We start from the raw sequence: 27240 nt of genomic DNA on the forward strand, positions 1-27240 counted from the left end.
AAAAAAAAAAAAAAAACAAAAAACCTCCACTAAGCCTTTTAAAATTAATTTCTGTCATCAGCAAAATTCTGTGATTGTTAACCTCTTCTTAACATGCTTTTCAGCTCTTCTGCTTTCCCTTAAACCTGGCTCACCCTTGAGGACATGGGCTTGGCTGAGCCCTCTCAATTGATAGCTACTTTCTTCCTTTTATTTTTTTTTTTTTGAGGCAGAGTCTGGCTCTGTCGCCAGGCTGGAGTGCAATGGCAAGATCTCAGCTCACTGCAACCTCTGCCTCCCAGATTCAAGTGATTCTCTTGCCTCAGCCTCCTGAGTAGCTGGGATTACAGGTGCCTGTCACCACGCCTGACTAATTTTTTTGTATTTTTAGTAGAGACGGGGTTTTGCCATATTGGCCAGGCTGGTCTCAAACTCCTCACCTCAGGTGATGCACCCGCCTCGGACTCCCAAAGTGCTGGTATTACAGGCATGAGCCATCGCTCCTGCCCTTTAATAGCTATTTTCCAACCATACCGCTACTCTTCTTCCTCGCCATTCGATTCTAGAGGAGGGCACTCAGTAGAAACTCATTGCAACTTCCAGATTATTTTCCTTCCCTTGTCTGGAAAATTCCCTGCTCTTCTATTTCAGGTCCTCTAAGGACATCTATTATCCCTCCTTGTTGCAGTCATTTCTTGACTCTCAAGCCTGGAACTTCATTGAAGTTTTTTTTCTTCCTTACTCAGTCCCCAAAACTTTTTCTGCTTCATTCTTCATGATGTTACTGCATCTGAAGACACTTTTTCAACACAATAGCCTCTTGGTCCTTTACCTTTTCTTCACCCAAGATCATATCCAATCAGCCACTCTTATGGTTACAATCAAAATTCTGTCATTACCAAAATATGTGCTCTCTCCAAACATTAAATTTAAAGAATCCCATTCTATGAACACAGCTTCCCTTTTTACTAGCTCAGGTTCCCTAGTACCTCAATCCAACAAGCCTCCAACCCCTAATATGATGATTAATTCATTTTTCTTCTTTTCTTTTAAATTATACTTTAAGTTCTAGGATACACATGCAGAACATACAGGTTACATAGGTATACATGTGCCATGGTGGTTTGCTGCACCCATCAACCTGCCATCTACATTAGGTATTTCTCCTAATGCTATCCCTCCCCCACCCCTCACCCCACAATAGGCCCCAGTGTGTGATGTTCCCCTCCCTGTGTCCATGTGTTCTCATTGTTCAGCTCTCACTTATGAGTGAGAACACGCGGTGTTTGGTTTTCTATGCCTGTGTTAGCTTGCTGAGAATGATGGCCAGTCATTAGAGAAATGCAAATTAAAACCACAATGAGATACCATCTTACACCAGTTAGAATGGTGATAATTAAAAAGTCGGGAAACAATAGATGCTGGAGAGGATGTGGACAGATAGGAACGCTTTTACATTGTTGGTGGGAGTGTAAATTAGTCCAACCATTATGGAAGACAGTGTAGTGACTCCTCAAGGATCTAGAACCAGAAATACCATTTGACCCAGCAATCTCATTACTGTGTATATACCCAAAGGATTAGAAATCATTCTACTATAAAGACAGATGCACACGTATGTTTATTGCAGCACTATTCACAATAGTAAAGACTTGGAACCAACCCAAATGCCCATCAGTAATAGACTGGATAAGGGAAATGTGGCACATATACACCATGGAATACTATGCAGCCATAAAAAAGGATGAGTTCATGTCTTTGCAGGGACATGGATTAATTCATTTTCAGCTGTCCTACATCTCCTCCTCTGCACACTTAATTCTCTTCAATGGAGTTTAAGTTTCATGTCCAATCATTTGGTTACTATATTAAATACATCCTCAACTTCTCTCTCTCTTTATGGTTCAATTACCTGGCTCTGTAAATTTACCTACAAAGGTAAACTGGTTTAAAAAAAATCACGCTAAGAGTCTCATTTTACTTTTATGATCACTATCTTAGTAGTCACATCAATTACACTCTATTTTCCTGGTTTACTCTCTCTAGCTCTCTGAGATAGTCCTATTCAAAGCATGTCCCTTGACTTACATGAGTCCACGAACTGTGAGCTACCAGATACAATAAGATATGTGGTGAAATTATGAGAAATCATTTGAAATTTTTAAATTATTTATTATTTTTTAGAGACATGTTTTTGCTATATTGCCTAGGCTAGAAGCAATCACAGCTCATTGTAACCTCAAACACCTGAGCTCAAGAGATCCTCCTGCCTCAGGCTCCCAAAGGATGTTAAGATTCCAGCCATGAGCCACAATGCCTGGCCTTCATTTGAATAATTTTATAGCAACATAACAGAGTAATTTATGTTTGGATTTGTATTATGTATGTCTTTTTAGATTTTTATTTTTTGAATAATTAATTTACGGAAGTTTCAATCCTTCACTAGTTGGAAACCAAGTAACAGAACAAAACAACAACAACAAAAGGTTTTGGATCTTCACTACAGATAGTTCGAGACACACTGTTTTAGATCAAGTATTTCAATTTATGGTTAACAATTTCTCTCCTCTGATTCATCCTGTACTGATGTCACCCCAGTCAGGTCCTACATAATCTGTTCCCTAGATTTATTTCTCTGATCTTCTGTTCACTCCCTCACTTACTCCACTCTAGTCATGCTGTTCTCCCTTACTGTTCTTCCAACGCACCAAGTTTCTTCCAGCAGCTCTTTGAGAATAATAAAAAACAAGTAAAGTAAAGCAGGACTAGAAAGAAACTACCTTAACATAATGAAGTTTCTTTTTTAGTTTTTGTAAGACAGCGTTTTGCCTTGTTGCCCAGGCTGGAGTGCGATGGCGTGATCTTGGCTCACCACAACCTCCACCTCCTGGGTTCAAGCAGTTCTCCTACCTCAGCCTCCCGAGTAGCTGGGATTACAGGCATGCGCCACCATGCTCAGCTAATATAATGAAGATTGTTTAACAAAATTGTAAACATTACATTTGAAGAACAAAATGTATTCCTATTAATATTAGAAATTCAACAGAAATGCCTGTTATCACCACATAAGTTATATCATCCTACTAATTCTAATTACCTAAGTGCCTAAAGATATTGCAAATATTGAAACAAAAGAAAAATACTTTTATATGAGATTATAAAAAGATATTTGAAATAAACGATTTGGTAAGGTGTCCAAGAATATGATAAATGTACTAAGTTAATATTTTTCCTAATATACCATTAAAGTAACCAGAAATGGAAATTTTAAAAAATGAAATAAGGCAACTTTAATAAAGATTTACTTGCATGAAAAACAAAATTAGCCACAATCAAAAACACACACATACAAATCCTACAGTTTTGAATAACTTAAAATAATTTCTGAACAAATGGAGAAACAATCATGGAAAAGACGACTTAATATCTTAAAATCGTAAGGTATAAATATTTTACAAATTAATATACGTATTTAATGCACTAGCCTCTTGAGACTTAAAAGGGAGATTTGATTGGGAACCGAATGACCCTTTCAAGCTCAGAAAGATAAACAGATATGTAAAAAAATTATAAAAATCTTTTGAAAAGTTTACTGAGGAAGAACTTGTCCAGTCAGATATTAACATTTACTATGAAGACTATACACAAAAGTGCAGAGTAGGAGCAATCCATTATACTGCAAGCATTCATATTAAACTAAGATAAAAGCTGGCTACCATCATTACTGTTATTTAACAGTAGTGTGTGTGGGGGGAGGGGCGGGGGGTGAAAGTCAAATCAATTCACAAAGAGAAAATAGCAGGCATAAATTGGATATAAATCTGTAAAATTACTATATTCATTGGTTTCATTTTATATCTAAAAAACCCAAGAGATTCAACAAAAATATTTTATAAGCAGGAAGATAATTGAATAAAATAGGAACAAAATTCATATACTAACAGCAATATCCATTTAATAAACAAATAGAGTTAGAAAATTTACTATATGTAAATATGAAAATGATTTTTAAAAGTGTTCTTCATTTAAAGGTAAAAAAACTGATTGTACTGTTCACATGGAAAAATAAGCTGTAATCAACAGAGAAATTTTATAAACAGTTTTTGGAAAAGAAGACAAAGTTATCATGGACTAGACGTAATAATTTTAATATTTATTTTAAAGGAATAGTGACAAAGCAAATGGATACAGAATTTAACCATACAAAAAAGCCATTAAAGTACTTCAAAAAATGTAAAAAATAATGTTGGCATGGGAGAGGTTTTATTTTTATTTTAAAACAAGGTAGAGTGGCCATTAAAAAATATTTAAATTTATCTACTTTAAAAATAAATCTTCAGGGAAAAGAAAAATTACAATAAACATAGCCAAAAGAAAAACTGACAAACATTCATAACACATATAACAAATAGCTAATTCATTTAACACACACTGACAGGGTAAATGTTAAAAAATAAAATAGAAAAACAGGCAAATACAAGTTACTGCTAACCTTATGAAATGTTGCTTACCCTCATTCAAAACAGGAAAAAGACAAATTAAAATTATATTTCATACTATTTATTTAGTAAATCCATAAAGATTAAAAAGTTAACACAGACATTTGACATGAGTATAGATAATGTTTGTAATGTGTTACATACCATGTAATTTTTGTAATGTGCTAATTGTTCCATCTTTTATAGAGCACTATTTGGAAATATATATTAAAATTTAAAAGATGTGTAAATTTTACCCCATTATTTCCACATCTAAAAATGTACATGACAGAGTTGTACCCGTGTGAGATAATGTTTGTAAAAAGGTATTTGTGGAGCACTGATTATAATAGAAAAAGAAAAGATATAATTTAAAAATTCATCAGTAGAAGATTAATAAATAGTAGTACACAATGGTTGAACTAATTTACACTCCCACCTTTTTACAATAGCAAAGACTTGGAACCAACTGAAATATCTATCAGTGAAAGACTGGATCAAGAAAATGTGGCACATATACACCATGGGATACTATGCAGCCATAAAAAAGAATGAGTTCATGTCTTTTGCAGGGACATGGATGAAGCTGGAAGCCATCATTCTCAGCAAACTAACACAGGAACAGAAAACCAAACACCACATGTTCTCATTCATAAGTGGGAGTTGAATAATGAGAACACATGGACACAGGGAGGGGAACATCACACAGGGCATATACCTAACACATGTGGAACTTAAAACCTAGATGACGGGTTCATAGGTGCAGCAAACCACCATGGCACAAGTATACCTGTGTAACAAACATGTTCTGCACTTGTATCCCAGAACTTAAAATACAATTAAATAATAATAATAGTACAGATAGTCTCCACTTACAGTGGTGTAACCTATTTTTCCATTTCAGGACATAACTCCATTGTAAGTCAAAAACATTGGTATATCTATTCAATAAAAATTTTATGCTGCTATTAAAATGTAAAATCTTTGTACATACAAAACGGACTGATCTTTAAGATACATTCTACACAACAATTTAAAAAAGTAAGGTTTGAGAATACAAATACTATGCTATTAAATATGGTTACAAAATTATAATGCATAAAGTTATATATATATATATATATATATTTGCTCTTAGAATTCCCTGTTTTTGTCTCCTTTGATAATGTTGACATTTCATTTCAATTTGAATTGAAAATGGGTTTAATAAATGATACTCTCTTTTTTCCAATGGGAAGAAAATAAATTCAAACCATTATTTTACATTCTATACAAAAAATATTCCAAATGAATTAAAGATCTGAACAAAAGAAATTAATTATGGAAAGAATTTAACTATCTCTGAGGTGGGCTGCTATTCTGGGAATCCATAAAAAAAAAGAGACAGATTTACATATATGTCTCCTCACTGACAGAGGGAAATGCAAATTAAATCATCATGAGCTGTCATCAAATCAGTTTAAAAAGTCTTTGATAGTGTACTATGGTAACATGAATATTATGAATTCTCTCATACTGTTGTCCCCAAACAGCATTTTTTTTTAATTTCCATAGATTTTTGGGAAATAGTTGTTATTTGGTTACATGAGTAAGTTCTTTAGTGGTGATTTATGAGATTTTGGTGTACCCATCACCCGAGCAGTATACGTTGAACCCAATTTGTAGCCTTTTATCCTTCACCCCCTTCCCACTCTTGCCCCAGAGCCTCCAGAGTTCATTGGATCATTCTCATGCCTTTGTATCCTCATGGCTTAACTCCCACTTATGATTGAGAACATATGATGCCCAAACATAACATTTTTAACTTCTGTAAATAATATTCATAATAATACAGTTTCTATGGTTTGGGTAGAGTTTGTTTGCCTCCATCAAAACTCATGATGAAATTTAATCCCCAGTGTGGCAGTGTTGAGGGATGGGGCCTGATGTGAGGTATTTGGATTATGGGGGCGGAACCCTCATGAATGGCTTGGTCTTGTTCTTGCCATAGTTGTGTTATTGCTCTCACAAGACTGACTTGGTTCTCAGGGGAATGGATTAGTTCCTCTGACAGTGAGTTTTTATAAAGCCAGGATGCCCCTTAGATTTTCCTCTTTAAATGTATTTACTTCCCCTTTGACTTTCTCTGCCATGTTGTGACACAGCACAAAAGCCCTAACTGCATGCTCTTGAACTTCTCAGCCTACAAAACTGAGATCTAAAAAAAACCCTCTTCTCTTTATAAAATACCCAGTCTCAGATATTCTTTTATGGCAACAAAACAGACTAGGACATCAATACTATTAAAATCTAATATAATCTCACTCCAAGCTATATAAACTACAGAACAAAATCGCCAGTATATAATAGTTAAACAACTAAAACTAACTGATTTTTCTATTTTAGTATTTACATAGGGAGAATACTATCCAACTTAAAAAAAAGTCTTAACTCTATATATGTATTGATCAAGTTGGACATGGACATGCTGTGTATATATATATTTGGGAGCATGTGTGTGATACACAAATATAAAAAAGTATAGCTTTTTATATTTTTTAAACCTCCTAGAAAAATAAAGAACATATCTTACAGAACTTTGAAAATTTAAATGTACTATTCAAATATAAGGTATTATTTCTCTTGCACAATCAAAAATGATTCCATATTGAATAATAAAAGTCACTCCATATGTTTTAAGAGATGAAAAGTACACCCTGATGTGATTTTATTCCACTAACATTTTTCAACAGCATGCATCTATGACTTAAGTTACTTGTTTTTGCTATTGTTGCTTTATGTATCACCAACTTTGAACCCGACTGAGAATGTCTAGCCAGAACAAATTGATGCTTGAAAGTCAGTTAGCACCACAGGAAAAAATGCAAAAAGCTCGAGACAGAAAAACCTATTTTTTCAAATTATTCTATTCAGAATCTCCTACATCTTATTTCCAAATTAAATATTTTTAATGATAGTAGCAATTATCATAGCTACCTGTAACGTCTCTTTTTTTTTTTTTTCCACAATACTGTATGCCATTTGATATATTAGCATTTTCTTTTAATTTTCCCTCCTCTACAAAACTCTGTTAAGGGAATATTCTAATAATAAGATCCTAACTTGCAACGGACATTAAGATTCGGAGACTTATTGGATGGATAACATTAAGTAAATTCCTCAACTGCTCTTTTCCTCAGTTTCCATTTCTGTAAAATGAGAATAGGACCTACTTCATAAGTTTATTGTGAAGATTAAAGGAACAATAGCTATAAAGCAGGCAGAACTCTGCCTGGCACAGCATAAGCACCCTGTAAATATTCACTGTTATTATTTTTTTAAAGGAAGGAATAGCTTTTGCTTCTCTGTAAATGCTTACAAAGCCATTAATAACTTATTCTGTACTCCCCTTAGCCCAATGACAGGCAAGCATTTTTATATGTATGTTGCAACTAATGCAACATTTTTATATGTATGTTGCATTAGTGGTTAAAGAATGGATAGATGAATAATTTCACCAGATCCCATGGCTTCAACTACTCATGATTGCCCCTGATTTTTAAATCTTAAGTCCAGCTATCTCTCCGAAGGTCCAGATCCTATTCCTAATTCCCTACTGATCAACTCCACCTAGATGTCTCAGGTATCTCAAGATCTATGGTTTATAATAGAATGCATAGTATCCTCCCAAACACACATAGAACAATACATGCATACCCAGAGAGAGGGACTTGATCTCTTACTCTTTTATTTCCTTTCTCAGTGACTAGTACCACCATGCACTCAGTCACTCACACAAGAAATTCCCCTACCCGCCACCGCCCACCCTCCAACATATATCCAGTCATCTTGCTCTACTCATGCACTGCCTTAATATATTTCAGTGATCCTCTGCTTGGCTCCTCATCTACCATGACCTCTGTATCGTATCTATTTTGCAATATAGCCACGGATTCTAGTAAGGTCTCCCTCCTTCAGGCCTTTGCTCCTCCATTCCATTCTCCACATTCCATTATAGTCATATTTTAAAATGAAATCTAGTTATGTATTTTCCCATCTAAAAGTCTTTGATTACATCTCCCACAAGATAAAACCCAATCTCCTACTTGGTATAAAACACCCTTTTGAGCCTACGTGTTGTTAACCAGCCGCTTTTCTCTCATTTCTGTGCATTTGCATTTAACATCCCCTATGGGTACACTCCTCTTCCAACTGTCTTATGTGTAATTTACTTAAGACAGTTCTTTGTAGCTCAGATTAAATATAACCTTCTCTTTGGAGCCTTATCTGTCCCTTAATGGGTTTACCAAGCCCAGCCTGAATTCATTAAATGGAAAAAAAAAGTTTCTAAATAAAGTACATAGTACATTGCCAACAGAAAAAAGTAAAGTACAGATCATTACTTACCTTTAGGAAAATAGGAGTCATTATATCAATAACTACCAAAAAAAAAAAATGAAACAAGGGTGGGAGAAATAATTATTGTAAATATATCATGGATAAGCTTCTGTGGTACATGATTTCATAGTCACATTTTATATTATTATTTTTCATTTTCTAATTATTTCTTGGCTACATAGGTTATTACCACTGATGCAAAGTGAAGTTAAATAAACCATACTTCATAAATTCAAGGTATTTATATATATATATATTTGCCCCTGTAGTGGTTTCAGGGGTAAGATTAGGAATTTTAACATTAAAATACAAGTATTGTCACTACATGCATTCAATATGCATGTGATGCTTCAAATCGAAGTGAGTGAAGATTGGATTTCAAATACTCTTCTAATATAGGAAAGTGTGTGCCTGTGTGAGTGTGGGTATCTGTGTGAGAGAGATTTCTAAGAGAGAATAGTGAAAGAATAATATACAAATAATTAAATACTTTTAGTAAAAAATTCTTATTAATATTCATTCGTATGATCAAAACTGTCTCCTTTTAAAAAATGTAATGGAAATATGTACTTGTCAGCACACAGAATGGAAATCTTTTCTGTAGAACACAATTACATTTTATCTGCGTAGCACAATGTCCTTAGAATCTATTTCCTTCTGGCATCTGAAATCTAAAGAACAATGAGAGTTGAGTGCTGCAGGTGGCATTTTATATATAATTCCTAGGAAATAATGTGTTCTTAGCTACAACTGAAAACAATGAAGCAAAAGAAATCAACAAAACCAACACATATTGTCATAGGGACAAACAAATTAACGTTTGAAGCAACACATGCACACGCGTGCACACATGCCCATGATAGAACTACAAATAAACTGAACTTCCATTTGCTCTCAAGTTTCCTCATTGAGCGATCTAGTTTAATGAATTTCCTTTATAAAACTGGTACTGTGGGACCAGACTGAGTTAAACTAGAAATATATGCAGTTATTTTTGAAAGACATGATTTGATCACCAAGTCTCAATAATAATCCAGACAATATTGGACCCCTTTGAATTTTCCCAGGTCATTTACAAGTACTGAGTATATACATGTGGTTCAGTTACAATATTTTAAATCATTTTCCCAGAATACTTCAGGGCTGTACTTTCCCCCACTGTCAGTTGATGTGTGCTCAGGGAATGCAAACTAATTACCCCAAGCAAAATATAATTAAGGCAAGAAACTTACTCTGAAAACATCACATACTACTTCTCACATACAAATAGAAATGATTTCTGAATTATGTTTGCATGATTCAATTTTACTGCATACAATTTGTGCAGATAATGGAGAGTGGACTATATTAATTGTTACTGATAAATAGAAAGTTAAGACCAGATGAAACTATGAAGTATACCAACAAATTCAATTAGAACATATTAAAGCATTTTTTTAAATATAAAAGGACATAGGCTATATATTTAAGTTTGTACAAAGCTGCATGCGTATGAATAGACATTCTGTGCACTTATAGAGTGTCTGTGTGCAGAGTGTGCTGCTGAGAGTTTCACAGAGGGTTAACTGGAAAATAGAACAAAATAGATCATAGGTAAAAAGTCACCCTGAAGGAACTTAGCACCTCTTGATTATACTGATTCTGAATCTTCACTGTTCACTTTCATAATATGAATTGCAAAGTTTGCATATGAAAATCAGATTCCTAAGTTGCACAGTAATATGAATGTCAACAAATTATAAATTAATCTATACAAACAAACTTTTCTATTCTCAATTCCCACATTTTTAAAAGACAGTTTTATTTATCTAAAGGCAAGGGACTTTAAATTTTATTTCCTTTCCTGCTTTAATATCTATCTAGTATAATTCATTATTCGAAACAATTTAATAAGTTTCTACTATGTACCAGGCAATATACATAGTGGAACACAGGATATAAAGTGATGAGCAAAAAAAAAAAAAAAATACTCTGATCTGATGGTAAATTAATTAGGAAAAAGGTACCTATTATATTTGTAAGTATCTACCAAGTAATTAGCTACATAAATTGCTATTAATGCCCTGAAACTGCCAATTAGGGAGGAGAAAGATATATGGGTTGAAGCGTGAATTTGACTTAGATTTTCGGTGTAGCAGAACTTCTATCACAGGTATATCAGGAGAGAAGTACATGACATGAAGATGAAACAGTTTGTATAAACCTATGAGTTAAAAGAAAGTAGAAAATGCATTTATATCTGGTATTCAGTTCTATAGATACTATTTTCCCTCCAGCTGAAAGCAGAGATTAAATTATGAAATCCATACACTGTCAAAATAATGATTCTAACAAAATGTGCAGTCTTTCATTATTCGAAAAAAAGTCTATTATGAATATCACATAAGGCCAGTTTTTAAATCACATGAAATGAGAATTGAAAAAGATTTTGTAGGTAATACTCTAATTTCTGGTATGGAATATTTTTCCATTGTTATAATTTTTAAATGCTTTGTCAAATTCAGTTTTAAAGACTCAAGCAAAGGGTCTAAGGAACATCGGCCTAATAGACTTAGCATTAGGAAATTAGGTTATATGTTAGTTACAGAGGGGAGAAAAGTGCCCACATATCTGTAGGTTCTCAGAACTGCTGCATATATGTCATCATTCCTGGAACACTAGCCAGAGACCGGCACTTCCTGGACTTTAAAGACCCAAACAGTTTACCAGAATTTCTGATCTCTTGATAAGATTCAAAGCTGTGCTTCTTGCAGGCGAGATGTAAAGGTTTCCAGGAACTGCTTGCCTTAATATTGAAAGATTGAAGTTAAAGGAAAGAAAAGGCTACAAAATGATGTTTTGAAGCATGTATACACTGTGAAATGCCTAACCTGAGCTAGTTAACATATGCATTATCTCACGTACTTATTATATTTTGATAAATATATACAATTGTATTGTGAATAATATTGCAATAAAGCTGAGGGAAAAGGCTAAATGTCTTGGTCCTCCAGCATTTAAAAATATATGTCACACATGCAATAATGATATTTTATTCATCAACAAATAAATAGGGGCAATGTTGGTATTTGAACCCAAGTTTCAAGTTAAGAGCCTAGGTTTTTACCCAATACACCTGGAAAACATTCAATGGGATATTTTATTAGGTAGATATTGTTACAACACTGTTTCACTTGTAATAGTTCCTTTGCCATGTTATGGATTTTTTTTTTTTAATTTGAAAGGTGTAGTACCAAGGAAAGTACTTCCAACTTATTCTCCGAGGTCATCACTACCACGACTCCAAAATCAGACAAAAGTGTTATAAAAATGGACAACCACAGATCTACCTCCCACAAAATTTAGATCCAAGATTTCGAACTAAAATTTAACGAATTAAATCCTATGATATATTAAAAGGATACTATGTCATTAATAAGCGGTGGTGTTTATTCCAATCATGCAGGGTTGTTTTGTATTAGAATATCAATGTAATTAATCATATTTACAAATTAAATCATCTCAATAGACAAAAAAATCGTTTGACAAAATCTAACATCCATTACTGACAAAAATTCTCAACAAACTAGGATTAGAAGTGAACTTCTTCAAATAGATAACGGGATTTTATAAAAGAAACTTACGGGTAGTATACTTACTGGTGAAAGACTGAAAGCTTTCCCACTAAGAACAGGAACAAGACAAGACAGGGATCTGCTCTTATCACTTCTATTCAATACAGTACTTGAAACTCTGGTTAGTGCCCTCAGGCAAGAAAAAGAATTAAAAGACAACCATGTTTAGAAAAGAAGTGATTTTCAGATGCCATGATTGTCTATATAGAAAATTGAATGGAATCTACTAAAAAGATACTAGAATTAGTAAATTTAGCAAGATTTAAGAATGCAATATAAATGTCATTTTTTTTTTTACTGGCAAATAACAATTGGAAACTAAAATTTTTTTAAAGTACCATTGAACATAGCATTGAAATATGAATTTATTGTTTGAAATATATGAAAGACCTGGACATATGGACATAACAACAATAAACATTGTGACAGACATTAAATAATGAAAGATAGGCCTTGTTTATGGGGTAGAAGGCATAATATTGTCAAGATGTCTGTTCTCTCCAAACTTATCAGTTCAATGAAATATCCTCTAAAGTCGGTCACACTTTCTGTAAATATTGGGAAAATGATTTAAAAATTCACATAGAAATTTGAAAGACCTAGAATAGCCAATAACAGCTTTGGATAAACAACAAAATTGGATAGATAAGAGTGCCTAATTTTAAGAATTGAGATAAAGTCAAAATAGTGTGATATTTATGAAATAGATAAATCAATAGGACAGAATAAATATTTTAGAAATAAATCTATAGCTAAATGAATAGCTTATTTGTGGCAAAGATATGAAGGCACTATAGTAGAGAAACAATAGTTTTTTCAACAAATGGTGCTGGAAAAATTAGACATCTATATGCAAAATATTCTTAGATTCATGCCTTATACCATACACAACAATTAACTCGATATGAATCCTCTAAAAAAAGATGAATCATAAAATGAAATGTAAAGTCCTGAACTATAAAACTCCTAGAAGAAAACATAAAACAAAATCTTTATAACATTTGGTTAAGCAAAGATTAAATTTAACACCAACATCACAGTCTATAAAAAAAATGATAAACTTCATCAAATATTAAACTTTCATTTTTCTAAAGACACTGTTAGGAGAATAAAAAGATAAGTCACAGATTGGGAAAAAAATCTTTATAAGGCTTTTATCTGATAAAATATTGGTGTATACTATATATAAAGAACACTCAAAACCCTCCAATAAGAAAAAAAAATTATCCTACACAAAAAGGGCAAAGGCCAAAAAGGGCAAAGGGAATATATGAATGGCAAATAAGGACATGAAAAAAAATTCAATATCATTAGTAACTGCAGACAAATATAAAGTAAAATGATAATGCAATACAATTACATATCTATTAGAATAGCTAGAATTTAAAAAAGACCGACTAGACCAAGTGTTGGCAAAGATGTAGGGAAACTGAAATTCTTATATATTACTGGTAGAAATGTAAAAAAAGTACAGCCACATTGGAAAAATGTGTGTGTGTGTGTGTGTGTGTGTGTGTGTGTGTGTGTATCACATAACCTATCCCTTCTACTCACATTTACCAAGAAAAAAGGAAGTTTATTTTCATGCTAATACTTGTACACAAATGATTATAGCATCTTTATTATAATAGAAAAAAACTTGAAGCTAAATGTCCATCAACAGGTGTATGAATAAACAAACTGTGGTATATATGTAAAATGAAATACTACTCAGCAAAAAAAAAGAGATTAATTATTGATAAATGCAACATGATGAATCTCAAAATAACTATGCTGGGTGAAAGAAGCCAGGCGAAAGAGTGTGTGCTGTATAATTCCATTTATATAAAACTGTAGAAAATCCAAATTAATCTGTAGTAACAGAAAGCAGATCACTTCTTTCTTAAGGGGGAGGAAAAACTACATAGAGCACAAGGGAACGTTTAGGAGAGATGTACAGGATCATTATTTTGATTGTAGTAATGTTTCCACTGACATATATATTTCATCACGTCTTTCAACCGTGTCGCTTATTGAACGTCAATTATATAATAATAAAAATTTTTTAAATCAGAATAAAAGAAATCTATTAATAAGGTTCTTAAAAAGATTAAATGATATACATTGGGTGCTGTTATGGACTGAATTGTGTTATCCCAAAATTTGAATATTGAAGCCCTAGTCTGAAATAAGACTGTATTTGGAGATAGGTCCTTTAATATAGAAGTAATTAGGGTTAAATGAGGTCCTAAGGGTAGGGCTCTAATACAATAGAGCTGGTGTCCTAACAAGGAGAAAACATACCAGAAATGCATACACACAGAGAAAAGGCTATGTGAGGACACAGCAAGATGGCAGCCATCTGCAAGCTAAGGACAGACGTCTTAGGGGAAACCAAACCTGCTGACACCTTGACCTTGGACTTCCACCCTTCAGAACTGTGAGAAAATTAATTTCTGTTGTTTAAGCCACCAGCCTTTGGTATTGTGTTATAGCAGACTAGCAAACTAATACAAGTGTTTTTAAAAATGCGAAAAAACCGCTAATCTGATTGACTTACTGAGATAAGCATGTAAATATACAATTATATATAATATACATAATTATAAATAAGCACTTATATAAATTTAATACAGGATTCAAAGATTTCCTCTGAATGAAGAAATTGTATTTTTAATGTTTAACTGTGCTGGTCCTTCGAGGTAGAGGGTGGAGAGCAATCAATCTCTCTCTCACAGTAACTTCCAATTTAGCTGTGTGGGCAATGACTAATTGCTAGATAAGAAATTAAGAAATAGAAATGGGCATTAAGTTAGTAAAATATAATTGTAAAAATGCATTAATTAAAACGTCTGAAACATTTTGTTATTTGGTTAACGAATACAGAAGATTTATAAGAACCTCAGTTTATATAGTAAACTTTGTTATGGTTAATCGTCGGACAAATCAGATCGGATTAATAGTTTTTAAAGTAATGCCATCTTTTTTTTCTTGATCTTAGAGAAGACTGAAAGATTACACAACTATATTTTATCTGTTTAAAATTATTCATTTTTATGAAGCATTTATTTTGATTGTCCTAAAATGGTTTTATGTGTCAAATCAATTGTTTCCGTAATATATTTAAGATACTAAGAATGCAAACACAGGTTTAACCAAACGGAATTATGATAACTTACTTCTTTTTAAAGGATTTATTCATTTGAACTTTAGATAATGCTACAAATCTTTGGACTCACTTACTTTACTGACAAGATAGGTAAATTTTTAAATCTTTCCTTTTGCCAAAGTTTTATCATCAACGATGATTGTGTAACTCTGTAATGTCAACTTAAATTTAATTACCACATCCTTAATAAACTTATGGACCTTGTATGAATATTAAATTTAGCTAATTAGGAAGTAATCTTTGCTTATAAGACAATTTCTAAGGACATTAAAACATGTAAAGAGAGAAAATGAAACAGTCACCAAGAATAGTTTTTATTTACACATTTTTGTCAATGAAGACATATTTGCTGCTTTAGTCTTCCAATAATGAGAAGAAGAAAATGGCAATCTGTATGTGAAAAAATAGTTTATATAATTTAAGCCACTTTATCTTTCAGTAATGCAATAATTCACTATTTTGTGCATTGGTTAGATACTTGTTTCAATGTATGTAAGAATATATCAACAAAAAGGCTAATAAATGTTATATTGTGGGCCACAATACAAAACGATAGGGTTTTTTTTTTTCTAAAATGTAGTAGAAACACCTACAGTTATTGATTCTCCTAAGGCATTGTTTATAAAGGCATCAACAATCTGGTATAACAAAAAAAAAAATCTATTCTTTAAAATACCCTAATTATCTTCCAAACTCCTTTAACTGCCATGTCCTGATTTCCACATTTGAGACGTGAAAGAACCTTGACACCTTCTCACCAGATGCTGTCTCATTACAGGCCTCTGAATGTTGAGAAGAGGTTGCCGTGTTGACAGCTGTTCTAGACTCTTAGACAAAACACTAATGATTGGGCTTATTCTAGCAGTTCAATTTCTAACTTGTTTGCAAACATCGGCTTCAGTTTTAGTTCTTGAGCCCCTATAGCCACTTACAGACAAAAACTTCCTAGTTGCTACCATTGTGAAAGGTCCTTTCTTCCCTAAGCTTCAGCATAAATAACTCATTAATTGATATTACCACCTTTAACAAGGACTCTTTACATTTTATAGTACTAATACCAGAAAATTATGGTATCTGCCTATGATGTTGTTAAGATATAAAGTAGATGACAACAGAACATGATTGAAAGCAATGATTAGAAAAAATAGTTTTTTTATATTAATATTCCAATGAGTTGAGGCTTCAATGAACCTGTTCTCATCTACTATCTCATCTTCAAATCTACCTTGTGAAATAGTCAAGACAGGGATTAATCATAGCATTTAGAAGTGAAAAAGTGAAAATAATCATAATAGGAATGTGCTCATAACATTCCTGCTTCTCCTACATTTTACTTATAAATAAACTGTTGAACAGAGGGAGATTAGTGACTGATAAAGCCAAGAACAGAACTAATCAATACATTCATCAATGTTGCACCTCGAGGCTCCCCAAGTTTGAATGAGTGAACTGGCAACAGATTAACAAATTGTCTGATTACTTTTTTTTTTTTTTTTTTTTTTGAGACAGAGTCTTGTTCTGTCGTCGCCCAGGCTGGAGTTCAATGGCGCGATCTCGGCTCACTGCAACCTCCGCCTTCCAGGTTCAAACGATTCTCCTGCCTCAGCCTCCCGAGTAACTGGGATTACAGGCGCGTGCTACCACGCCTGGCTAATTTTTTTGTATTTTTAGTAAAGACGGGGTTTCACCGCGTTAGCCAGGATGGTCTCAATCTCCTGACCTCGTGATCCACCCCACTCGGCCTCCCAAAGTGTTGGGATTACAGGCGTGAGCCACCGCACCCAGAGATCATCTGATTCTTTATCTCTAGCCCTTAAGTGGGCCTTTTCTCTATATCTTTGCATGACTGAGTTCGTCCTGTTTATGTAGGGATAGCATTAAGTGTCATGACTTTAAAGAGGCCTCTCTGGACCATAGATTTACCTCCTCCCTGTAGGTGTAATCTTATTATCCCCTACCCAGTTTGATTTCTCTTTGCCTAGTACATCATTCTCTGAAATAATCTGGTTAATTTATTTAATTATTTATTGGCTTTTTCTCTTAATACCCCATGAAGACAGAGATGTTATTGGAGTTGTATACTGCTAAATTCCTAGGATCTTATTGGAGTTGTATACTGATAAATTCCTAGTATCTTGAGCAGCGCCTGGAACATCCTATTTTTCAAACAAATAGTTTCTAAGCAAGTGTCCTGAGGTTTGGTGCCATCCCATTGCCTTCTCATTCATCAGAACTGCCTTTTCTCACTTGATACACAGGGTCAAATAAACCACTAGAGCAGAAAATTCAACTCTCAACCTCTTGAGCTCTATCTCCCCCCAGTCTTCCCACATTGTCTCATTTCCCCATGACAGAGGTGACATCAGAATTTATCTGTCAAGAGCTTTCCTAATCTTTTTTTTTTTTTCCAGGGGATCAAAATAAAACTCAGAAGTTAAATGACTTGGTTTGGGGTTACACAGTTAGTAATTGCAGGAGTCTAAACAGAACCAGGTCTTTTGCCTTCTCTTTCTAACAGATTACACTGACTTAATGCCATGAGGGAAAAGCATTCCTAGTGAGTGTTTGGGTAGGATATAAACCTCTAAAAATTGAGGGTTTTATATTGCTCTCTGCTATCACACAGGTCTTCATTATTCTGACACTCCTAAGTAAGATATTCAGATCCAGCTAAAAGGAAATTTTTGACCTGTCTACTCTCATTTTTATGAAGGAGAAAAGAAAGAAAGAAATTCAACCTTACCTTAGAGTTAATAGTATTTTAGACTTGTCTCTAGATATTTAGATGAAAGATTTCATTTCAATTTTACAGATAAGTAAATCAAGATGCAATGTATTTAAGTAACTAACTTATCCTACATCACATAGCCAATAAGTTGTCACCAGAATTTGAACCAAGTTAGTGTTGAAATATGAAAAATATAACTCTTAGATGTGAAATGAAACTGACATATCCACAAAATAAGAGTAAACTTGATCATTTCATGCAGATGAGCACTTTCTATCCTTAAGAAAAATTTTAGCATCTCTCATTGTTCCTTTCATTCAATACCTTTTATTATCAGGAAGTTCTAAGTTATATCTAAGTTAAATCTCTCTAGTTACAGTTAAAAATCTACTACTTCTCATATGAATGAGTAACAGCTGGTCACTTTATAACCATACACTTCATGACCCTTCATACGCTAGAAGATCATTATTAAGTCACCCTTCAGCTTTCTATGATGGAACAGGCCCTATAAAAGTACCATCAGGCACAAAAATTATTAGAAGCACCGCAAGGCACCATCATTAAAGTCACCATCTGGCATAACTGGAAATGTCAGCAAATAGGAAGTGCATATTGATGGGCATACTACTGTTTATGCCTTTTAACTGGTCAGTAATGTCAATTATAATTACATCTTCATTGTAGGATTTTATAGCTTGTATGGATAAATGAACATGCACTCGATTAACTAACTACAGACTAAATGGAAAATGGTTCTCAGGCTAATGTTTCCAAAAGCTATTAGTACTCTTTTTGTTGACTAATATCTCCAAAATCATTAAGTGCTGAGCAAACAGACAAATTGGCTCTATCTCGAAAGAGAACCCAAGCTCTTTTCTAACTTATACAAGTGATTTCTTTAACAGTTAAAAATTTAAGAAACTTTTTTTGCTTTCAGAATTTTTCTCTATTTTAATGTGGACAATATTAGATTCGCATAAACTAATGAATGTTAATAATGCCTGTCAATCACTATTAGTTTAGTCTAAAAAGTTTTGCTATTAAAATTATAATTACTTATAAGCAAATAATATTTAATAACTGAAAATATATCGCTTTTAAATTTAGCTTAGTTCTACGTGTGCTAATTATATCACAGAACTTGAGTTATACTGTATATAAGTGTACACTGTACACTTCTCTGAAAAGTTTATCACAGAAATGATATTCTTATATTTCATTCGTATAGATTACATTGCATATACTATGTAATAAACTACTTTTAAAGACACATAAAGCTCTGTGGAGTAAATTTAACAGTGTTGGTGTGCTAGCATACCTGTCATAAAATACTGTTTTTCTAAGTTTTATTTTTTAATTAAACTTTTTTTTTTTTTTAGAGACAGAGTTTTGCTCTTGTTGCCCAGGCTGGAGTACAATGGTGCAATCTCAGCTCACTGCAACCTCTGCCTCCCGGGTTCAAGTGATTCTCCTGCCTCGGCTTCCCAAGTAGCTGGGATTATAGGCACGCACCACCACGCCTGGCTAATTTTGTATTTTTAGTAGAGACCGGGTTTCATCGTGTTGGTCAGGCTGGTCTCATACTCCTGACCTCGGGTGATCCGCACACCTCTGCCTCCCAAAGTGCTGGGACTACAGGCATGAGCCACTGCGCCCAGATGGAATTGGTTCTTAGGTTCTATGATATTCAAAATATGTCTTTTACAAGGTTTTAGTGTTATTTCACGTTTTTCTTTTCTTTCTTTCTTTCTTTTTTTTTTTTTTTTTTTTGAGATGGAGTCTTGCTCTGTTGCCCAGGCTGGAGTGTAGTGGTGCAATCTCAGCTCACCGCAACCTTCACCTCCTAAGTTCAAGCGATTCTCCTGCCTCAGCCTCCAGAGTAGCTGGGCTTACAGGTGTATGCCACCATGCCCGGCTAATTTTTGTATTGTTAGTAGAGACAGGATTTTGCCATATTGGCCAGGCTGGTCTTGAACTCCTGACCTCAAGTGATCTGCTCATCTCAGCTCCCAAAGTGCTGGGATTACAGGCATAAGCCATGTTATTTCATCTTCTTAGTTCACTCTTACCACCTATTAGTCTTCATGTTTCCTCCCATGCCGGGTTCACTCTCCTTCCTTGGCAGTATTCAAAGATTTTATTTACATTCACATTATTTCACCTTTCTTTCTAATATGTTTGGAGGGAAATCTGTTTTCTTAAATACAGTGAAAGCACATTATATTGAAATAATTAGTGGAAAGCAGTTTTTAATACAAACCTATATTACCATGTCGTGTGCTCTATTTACAAAGATTAACTGGCAATTTTTCAGTTCTCCACAAAAATGTTAAAAGTTAGCAAGCTATAAATGAGATTCTCTATTTCTTACTTCACAAATGTATCAAGGGAGTGATTAGGCACATGTAGAATATCCCTGCTTTATTAAAGGGTAAGTGATAACTATAGATAAGAGAATATAAACACACACATATATGGTTGTCTATACATATGACACGTACATGTGCTTGATTTCAGGCCATTTTTGTCCTCCACTCTCTTGGCAGCAATATGATATTAACGCATAGAAGATACTTTTCCCATCAACTATAGATGGCTGTTCTTCTCCGTTTTCCTGCTATTTTTTACTTTAAGAGGACTGGGATTACTATGATCCACTTGAAGATGAAAACAGTAACAAGTAAAAAGACGAGCTGTGCTGGTTTCTCTCTATTTTCCAGCCTCTACTCCCACCACCACCACTGTTACAAGAAAGATCCTTTGTTCTGTTCTGTTCTTTGCCCCAGGAAGCTGATCCCTGTGGATTACACACCTGAGCATCCTCCTACTAGCTTCTGGTTAAATTCAGCCAGTGAAGATCAAGAGTGATCAGAGGACTGAAAGAAAGAGACTTAGGTTTTTCTTCTCCCCTCCTTTTCTGCTCTGGGTCATATTTTCTGGAACATGCTGCATTCCCCCAGGATTATAGCACTTTTTAGGTTGTTCCATGTCTCACTGGGCTCTGGTAGAGAAATTTTCTCCTCTTGCCCTTTAGGCTTAGGAGTGGCAAGGGCTTCCTGTGGTTTCTAGGCTCTTCAGTGCCTCAACATCCTTTACTGGCTCCTCTAAATTCTCTCACCCCTTTGAAAGCAGTCTATCAAATTCTTAAACCATGTGAGGTTCCTATGAGGACCCTGATACAAGAGCTGATTTTAGAGGGATAAAAATTGTTATTTTCTTGTCCTTTATAGTCCAACAATAGAGTTGTAGGAAACCCTGTGTTACATAATTTGTTTATATTCATGTTCACAGTTTTACGTATTAAAATTATGCAAAAGTAAAATATGTATTAACAGAGAGCATTTTTTTTAATAAATAAAAAAGTCTCAGGAACTTAATGTCAGGCACTCCTGCTAATTTCAGCTGACTTAGGGGATTTCTAGCCCAGTGTTTTCCATTTACTTTAAAAAATCAATTATGTGTCTATCCATAGTTGCAAGTACATTTTATTGAGATTTTGATTTGAGGCACATTTTTATAGCCTGCTATTAGAAAAGGCATTTGCCTTGCTATGTCAAATAATGTCAAATGAGCAAATGGAGATAATATTTTGAAGTACGGTCACATACCACATAATAACATTTTAGCCAATGATAAACTGCATACACAACAGTGGTCCCATAAGTTTATAATACCGTATTTTTCCTTTTCTTTTACCTTTTCTATGTTTAGATACACAAATGCTTCTCGTTGTGTTATAACTGTCTACAGCATTCAATACAGTAACATGCTGTGCAAGTTTATATCCTAAAAGCAGTAAGTTATGTCATATAGCCTAGCTATGAAATAGGCTACACCACTAAGTTAGTGTAAGTACACTCTATGATGCTCACAGAAGGACAAACTCATCTAACAATGAGTTTCTTAGAATGTATCCCTGTCATTAAGCATGCGTGACTGTAGTTGCTTTCTTGGCAATATCCATTCAGGAATAGTCTCAATTCTAGTAACAGTTGTGAATTGGGCCTTGTGGTTTCAGAGATATACTCCAGAGTAACATCTGTCTATGTACTAGGATATAATCTGGTGTCCAATGAGGTCAGTCTAATTCAGATACATGCTGATCTTTATGCCTGAGGTTCCTAAACTTGTCACCTTTAATAATCAAAAATAACTTGAAAATCCAAAGTAGCTGTGTAGATAGGCAATAATCAATTTGTGCAGATGAATCTCCAAAGAATCCTGGGGAATTAATCTACAGGAGGAAAGACGTTTTGTTGGTGGAAAGCAGCCCTGGCCTTAGGAGAAGCCACGTGGAGAGAATATATACTGTTTCTTCTGTTCTGGGGCTGGGAGTGGCAGCATGCTGGTAATCCACTTGGCTCCCAGTATTGAACTGAAAGGTAGCCTGAGGCAATCCATTCCACATACCAGTTGAAGGAATCTGTCATCTTTGGAAAGTCTGGTATTCATGACGATAAAGAGGTATCTATAACGCCAACAAGAGGAAAAGTATCCCTGTGCATGAAATACCATTATCTTAGATTCAAGTGATGGATGTTCTCAGTGGAACAATAATAGAAATGACTATACATAAGTTCCAAAGCAGAGAAGAAAAGTAGAGTGACTCTTATAGAAATAATACAAGGAGGCCGGGCATGGTGGTTCACGCCTGTAATCCCAACACTGTGGGAGGCCGAGGCAGGCGGATCACTTGAGGTTGGGAGTTTAAGACCAGCCTGGCCAACATAGTGAAACCCAGTCTCTACTAAAAATACAAAAAAGTTAGCTGGGCATGGTGGTGGCACATGCCTGTACTCCCAGCTACTCGGGAGGCTGAGGCAGGAAGATCACTTAACCCTGGGAAGCAGAGGTTGCAGTGAGCCGAGATCTCTGTCCCCCAGGTGGAGTGCAGTGGTGCGATCTCTCAAAAAAAAAAGTGAGGAATTCCTGAGGGGTGGAAAGAATGTTCAAGAGAAATGTAACTTGCTTGGAATACAGCATTTTTTGTTGCTAGGTCTCAGAATAAAAAGGGTTTTTTTTGTTTTGTTTTGTTTTGTTTTTTTGGTGGTGGTGGTGTTTTGTTTTACTATTGTTAGGCTATGGTATTCATACTACTAGTTTTCCTTCCTCTGACCACTATGGCCTGAGAAACCACCATTACCTATGAGATCTAAATTTCTCTAGACTCTGGTAGCCAGTTGACATTAAGAATATTACGTGAATAGTTGTAATTAACATTTTGCTAGCCTAATAACCTTTGCACCCACCTGCATAAAGCAGAACTTAATCTTCTCAATGGTTTACCTTTATTTCAAGTGAGAGAAGACGGTAGAGTGTAAGGGACATCTTATAGCATAAACAGCTTTCTCTTGTATTTCTATTCTACAACTCCTTTATAGCACTACCTTGATCCACTTGAGACTGCTTATGTCCTCCTTGAAAATGGCAAACCCCTGCCCAAGGGACTACTCTTGATGTTCCCCAAACTACCAAGGAAGAAGGAGGCCTGAGGCACTGCGTCGGCTTCAGTCTTTGCTTCCCAAGACAATTCAGAATTAGTTACAACATGATGAGAATTCTATACTTCAGGAAAGAACAGGTTCGCAGCAGGCCTGCAACCTCCAGGAAAGAACAAAGGAAAGTGACCCTCTTAAAAAAAGAGTTGGGATTTAAAAGCAATCAGTCAAACAAAGTAGTATCTGTGCTATGTATAGACAAGATTCTCCAACACAGAATTTCTCCTTTCCTTCTGCAAATAAATCCCTGGAGGCCAACTGAAATAAATTGGTAGACTAGTGTCTCTCACAAATCTATTTAGAGAGGTTTTTTGAATAGTTGGAAGATGCTTGCAAAGAATAGAATGGGCACCAGGAACTTGAGGACTGAATGGGTGTGAGGTTGTGAGGGTGGGAGGGAGGAGCAGTGGTGGTTATGAAGTGGGCCATGTCACCCAGGTCCACTGAACAGGCATCAGGCAGGAGCTTAAGGATCTACTGAACTGTTTTCCTAAGGGACACAGACAGTGACACCAATACGTGGATGAGAACAAACAAAACAATGAATTGTCAAATTACAGACACACTTGTCAGTGCTCTTAACCAGTATCAAAGTTTACTAGTAAGTTCAAAGATACATTGTTTATTCTGATCTGCTCCCTTAGTATTTGTTGAGAGAATAACTATATTTCAGCAGGAAAAAGAAATCTGAGCAGGTTTCTGCTGTATTTCCTCAGATCACAAAACTTTCTCTATATTTTGTTTCTTTTTCCCATTTCTATTTCTAATACTCAAAGTGTTTCCCTTCACTCTATTTGGTCATTAATCAACTTTGTCCATCTATGCATGTCAGAATTGTCTGGATTTTTGGATTGGAGAAAGTACTCAGCAATTTATAAGTCCAATTCATATTTCTTTGCTACGAGAAAGTTACACAGCTTGAATCACATGAAGTACAACTAAATTCCTAATGCAGCATTTTTCATGTGAAAAAAAGTAATGAATTATTTCACGTCCAAAATCCCTGTTGCTAGTCTTGTGATTGCCAAAAGCCTTAAGTGACTTCACTAATGGAAGTCTCAAGGCGCTTCTTCCTGCTCCTTAGCTCAATTAGTGTTATCCTTTGCCTTCCAACAGTGAAATACATTTATTTCTGGTCCACACATTATGTAAATAACTTCTCTTCATTTGCAGATGGCCTTCATATTGTCATGCTGGTTTGTGTGTGTGTGTGTGTGTGTGTGTGTGTGTGTGTGTGTGTGTGTTTGCCATGCTATTTTAACTTTTATAATCAAAGAGGGTAACAAATATTTATATGTCATCAGTCATTAAGTCATTCACAGATTTGATATTTAGGTACTATTTTAGTAGTAGAGATATAGTGGTAAAGTACAATTCACACTATCAAGGAATTTACAACATGCGTATCAGACAGAATAGGCAGATTTATGTTGCAGTAACAAAGAACTTCAAATTATCCATGCCTTAAAATAATGGTTTATTTCTAGCCAATGCTATGTGGAGGACCCGAAGATCTCATTGTAGTAATTTAGGATCTTATGGAGATGGATGTTCTGTTTCAATGCATGCTTTCATGATCATTTAGATAGGAAAAAGGAATGCAGTAAATCATACACTGGCTCTAGAATCCTCTGCCTACAAGTGATACAGGTTACTACTTCTCATACTTCATTGGCCAAAAAAAGCCATGCAGGCATATCTAATACCCAAGAAAGCAGGACTTCCTAATGAACATAGGAATACAACATTATATTCATCAATATCAGATTTTTGACCACCTATATCATACTATCAAAACATCAGCTGATACTACATCTATAATATAGTAGTCTATTTAAATGTCTTGTTCATAGATTATGAAGATGGCTAAGACACAATTGCTTATTTTATTTTCTTTACTTTTTTGGAGCTATACATTGCCCAGTTCACACAATTTTGTTCTCTCTTTTTCAGTTCTGTGATTCAATCACTCAATAACAACAAATTATAATCCTGCATATATGCTGGGGATCCCAGTCTCGAGCTAGTATTAGATCAATATCTTTTTTATCCTTTTTCCTGGTAATACAACCAAGCTTGATGTCTAGACTCAGCATTTCTGTAGACAACTAAGTTGTTTCCATTTCTAACTTTTGCCATCAGGGCAAAATCCAGATAGTGTTCTTGCTCAAACAATCATTAAGCCAAACTAAACATGGAGAAAAATCATTTTGGCTGTTTGTGGAAGTTTATAACTATGGCAAGATGTCACTTTAATACTGACACAAATATAAGAAAAATAGTAATTTAATATTTAATAATATTTAATATCTTGCTTTTTCAGTTCATAATTATGCACTGGAGAAAGATAAGAATAAATGTTGATCTGTCTGAATGTATAACACAGTAAGAAAGGATCTAACTGGGTCATAATGAAGCCGTTTGCTCACTTCTGTAAATTATTTCTTCTCTTTTTTTTAAGAAGCAGCACAGTATAGGAGGAGAAGCCTGGATTAATGAAATAGACACACCAATTACTAGCCATGCAAACTATTTGAGATTCAAGTTTCCTCGTCTTTAGAGTACAAATAATAATAGGTAACTCATAGAATTGTAGTGAGAATGTTTGTAAAACACTTTGCACAGCATTTCGGGACAATAACTAGGTTTCCAAAATTCTTATTCTTTCATTTTCTCTAAACCGAACTAACTATGAAGTTTTGAGGACAGCTAATAAGTAATGTATCTGGAAATAGAAAAAAAATACACTCAGGAAAAAATTATTCCAAATGAACAACTCCACCTTCTTCCCTAACAAATGACAAATATTCTGGGTGAGGAATGTAAACATGCCAGTAAATAGAAAACAGGAACAGAATGAAAGACATCTTGCTAGACTCCCAATAACTGTCCATGAGAATGTATACACCCTGGCTCAGACAGGAAATATAAACACCAGGGATTTCGCAGATGAGCCAGTCTGAGGTTTTATCAATTTCTTTGCTAAAGAATAATATATGGTATTACACATAATAATAGCATATATTATTATATAATACCAATAGATATTACTATTCCAATAGTTTCCTTCTCAAATATTTTATTATCACATTATCTTTAATGAATGAATCGGTTAAATTCTTTGTTGTGTATGGGCAAAGTACATTTTTACATGTCTTTTGTATACTAATACCAACACCTACACTTTCCAAAATTTTATTATTATTTTTAGTATTGTCCTTGTCATATTAAAATTTAATATATTCTTTGTAGAATCTAAAACTCAGGAAGCGAAGGTACACTTAGTTTACTCTTAGACAGTACTTTTCTAGTTTTTACCCAAATCTTAAGATTTTTGATCTACAAAAGATGATCATATGAAATCTTAACCATTCTTTAAGAACCACCTTAAATATTATCATGAAACTGACTACAA

General features: G+C 34.4%; 1 protein-coding gene across 3 annotated transcripts in view, besides 1 other annotated feature; it reads right to left on the reverse strand.

Annotated features, from left to right (window-relative positions):
- The window catches only part of LRP1B (LDL receptor related protein 1B), a 1899594-nt gene that overhangs the window by 894423 nt on the left and 977931 nt on the right, over positions 1-27240 (reverse strand). The window lies entirely within an intron of this gene.
- Positions 12422-12622: a silencer, noted in NCBI's record as "peak3886 fragment used in MPRA reporter construct". NCBI's record gives its function as "represses an SCP1 promoter by STARR-seq MPRAs in K562 erythroleukemia cells {active_cell/tissue: K562}" and the evidence as "EXISTENCE:reporter gene assay evidence [ECO:0000049][PMID:32103011]".

The sequence above is a fragment of the Homo sapiens genome, chromosome 2 (genome assembly GCF_000001405.40).
Source record: "Homo sapiens chromosome 2, GRCh38.p14 Primary Assembly".
Taxonomy (NCBI): domain Eukaryota; kingdom Metazoa; phylum Chordata; class Mammalia; order Primates; family Hominidae; genus Homo; species Homo sapiens.